General features: G+C 46.3%; 1 annotated feature.

Moving 5' to 3' along the window:
• Positions 289-789: an enhancer, noted in NCBI's record as "H3K4me1 hESC enhancer chr2:107803878-107804378 (GRCh37/hg19 assembly coordinates)". NCBI's record gives its function as "activates a minimal SCP1, AML or CMV promoter by ChIP-STARR-seq in primed H9 embryonic stem cells {active_cell/tissue: H9 hESC(primed)}" and the evidence as "EXISTENCE:reporter gene assay evidence [ECO:0000049][PMID:30033119]".

The following is a 2,942-nucleotide window of genomic DNA, read 5'->3' on the forward strand; positions in this document are numbered from 1 at the left end:
TGGGGCTCATTCCTGTCCCCCTATGACTTTGGGGGAATGGGTGATTGGAATTGGCAAGAAGAAATCCACTCTCCCCAGGGGCCTCTGCAATCCTGGCAGGAGAGAGACCCCTCAACCGCCATGGACACTTGAGTTGGTAGGGAGAGATGCTTAGAGAAGTGGCAAGGGCAGCAAGCCAGCTGATTAGGAGCCCAGAGGGTTTGATGTGGGAGTGTCTATTGTGGAGCCTAGCAAGAGAGGCCCATCCCGCTAGGCTCAACTTGCTCCCATAGGAGATTGTAGCCCTAGGGGAACTGCTGCACCTGAACTCTGCAGGGGAGTCTTGCCCATTAGATGAGGCTGGTCGGATCTGAGCACCTCTTGGTCTGCTGGCTTCTTCTGGGGCCCCAGCCTGGCCATGTCTGCTTGCAGGCATGCCTTGGGTGCCCTTGGGGGCCCACATGAAGTTCCTGTGCTGGTGGACCATGACTGACAGGTGGAGAACTCCAGCAGTGTGGCCGCTGCAGATGGACATATATCAGTCCACCTGCTTCCTCCCCAACTGCAGCTTCCCATGGGCCCATGGCCACTTCCCACATTGTTTTGCCAGAATGTGTGTGCCTGGGTGGATTTTGCCTGCCCTGCCTTTCCAGAACACTTTTGCATGTGCACCCTGTCCTGCCACTGCTGCTGACAGGAGAGCACTCCATCCTCCCCCACTCGACCTGCCATACTGCCATTGCAGTTGGAGCCTTGGCAGGCACAGAGCCCACCAGCCCTGCTCTTGTCAACATCCTGCCCCTGTGCCAACACTGCTGCAAGAGCAAAACTAGGCATGGAGAACAGCAGACCTTCCCTTGCCTTGAGCAACCAACCCAGCCTGTGTGAATGCACATAGAGGGTACACTCCGACCTGGAGCCACCAGGGCCCACCCCTGTGCTAACACCATCACCAGCATGACCATGCACCCAGTCACCAGTTGGGGGCCCCTACCCATCCCCCAGCCATACCACAGTTACCGCTACTGTGAATGTCTACACATAGGCAGGCACCTCAGCATCTGCCAGCACCCTGCTGCTGCTGATGAGCATGCACCCTGCCGTGCTGTTACTGCTGCTGCTGCTGCTGCTGGCACATGTGAGCAAGGACAGACCCCATTGCCACCATCCTATGAAATGCTTTGGTTGGCACCACACATCAGAATGTAGAGATCAGTGGTCTAGGAGCACCTCCCCCTCCCCAGTACAGTGGGTTCCTAAGTTTGAGGAACCAGAGAACAAAGTTAGGACCTGATGCAAGTCCCTCAAAGTTAGAGCATGCAGTCAGGAGTTGGGAGCTGAGTCTTGACCCCCTAAAAGCTTCCAGAATTGAAGCTAGTTAATGAACCTACCTTATACCACAATCAAATCCTCAATGGCATCAAATGGAATACAAGAAAGAGAAAATCAGAAGACAGTAACTTCAAAGACTGAAGGAACATCAGCCCACAAAGATGAGGAAGAATCAGCGCAAGAACTCAAAAAGCCAGAGCACCTTAATTCCTCAAAATGACCACAGTATCTCTCCAGCAAGAGTTCTGAACTGGGTTGAGATGGCTGAAATGACAGAAATAGAATTTAAAATATGGATTGAGATGCAGGAGTACATTTAAATCCAATCTAAGGAAGCTGAGAATCACAATAAAACAATACAGAATAGCGAGTATATAGAAGAACATAACCAGACGATAAAGCCAAAAAACAACAGTACGAGAATGTCGTAATGCAATCACAAGTATTAACAGCAGAATAGACCTAGAAGAGGAAAGAATCTCAGAGCTTGAAGACTGACTTTCTGAAATAAGATAGTTAGACAACAATACAGAAGAAAGGATGAAAAGGAATGAACAAAACCTCCAAGAAATATGGGATAATGTAAAGAGATTGAAAACTGTAATTCATTTGTGCCCCTGAAAGAGACTGTGCCCCTGAAAGAGAGTTCAGGCCCTGAATAACTTTTTAATTTTCTCCCTTGATGATCTGTCTAATATTGTCAGTGGGTGTTAAAGTCTCCCACTGTTATTGTTGGGAGTCTAAGTCTTATTGAAAGTCTCAAAACAGAGATATAGATCAATGGAACAGAACAGAGCCCTCAGAAATAATGCCGCATATCTACAACTATCTGATCTTTGACAAACCTGACAAAAACAAGAAATGGGGAAAGGATTCCCTATTTAATAAATGGTGCTGGGAAAACTGGCTAGCCATATGTAGAAAGCTGAAACTGGATCCCTTCCTTAAACCTTACACAAAAATTAATTCAACATGGATTAAAGACTTACATGTTAGACCTAAAACCATAAAAACCCTAGAAGAAAACCTAGGCAATACCATTCAGGACATAGGCATGGGCAAGGACTTCATGTCTAAAACACCAAAAGCAATGGCAACAAAAGCCAAAATTGACAAATGGGATCTAATTAAACTCAAGAGCTTCTGCACAGCAAAAGAAACTACCATCAGAGTGAACAGGCAACCTACAAAATGGGAGAAAATTTTTGCAACCTACTCATCTGACAAAGGGCTAATATCCAGAATCTACAATGAACTCAAACAAATTTACAAGAAAAAAACAAACAACCCCATCAAAAAGTGGGCAAAGGATATGAACAGACACTTCTCAAAAGAAGACATTTATGCAGCCAAAAAACACATGAAAAAATGCTCATCATCACTGGCCATCAGAGAAATGCAAATCAAAACCACAATGAGATACCATCTCACACCAGTTAGAATAGTGATCATTAAAAAGTCAGGAATCAACAGGTGCTGGAGAGGATGTGGAGAAATAGGAACACTTTTACACTGTTGGTGGGACTGTAAACTAGTTCAACCATTGTGGAAGTCAGTGTGGCGATTCCTCAGGGATCTAGAACTAGAAATACCATCTGACCCAGCCATCCCATTACTGGGTATATACCCAA

The sequence above is a fragment of the Homo sapiens genome, chromosome 2, assembly GCF_000001405.40.
Source record: "Homo sapiens chromosome 2, GRCh38.p14 Primary Assembly".
Taxonomy (NCBI): Eukaryota; Metazoa; Chordata; class Mammalia; order Primates; family Hominidae; genus Homo; species Homo sapiens.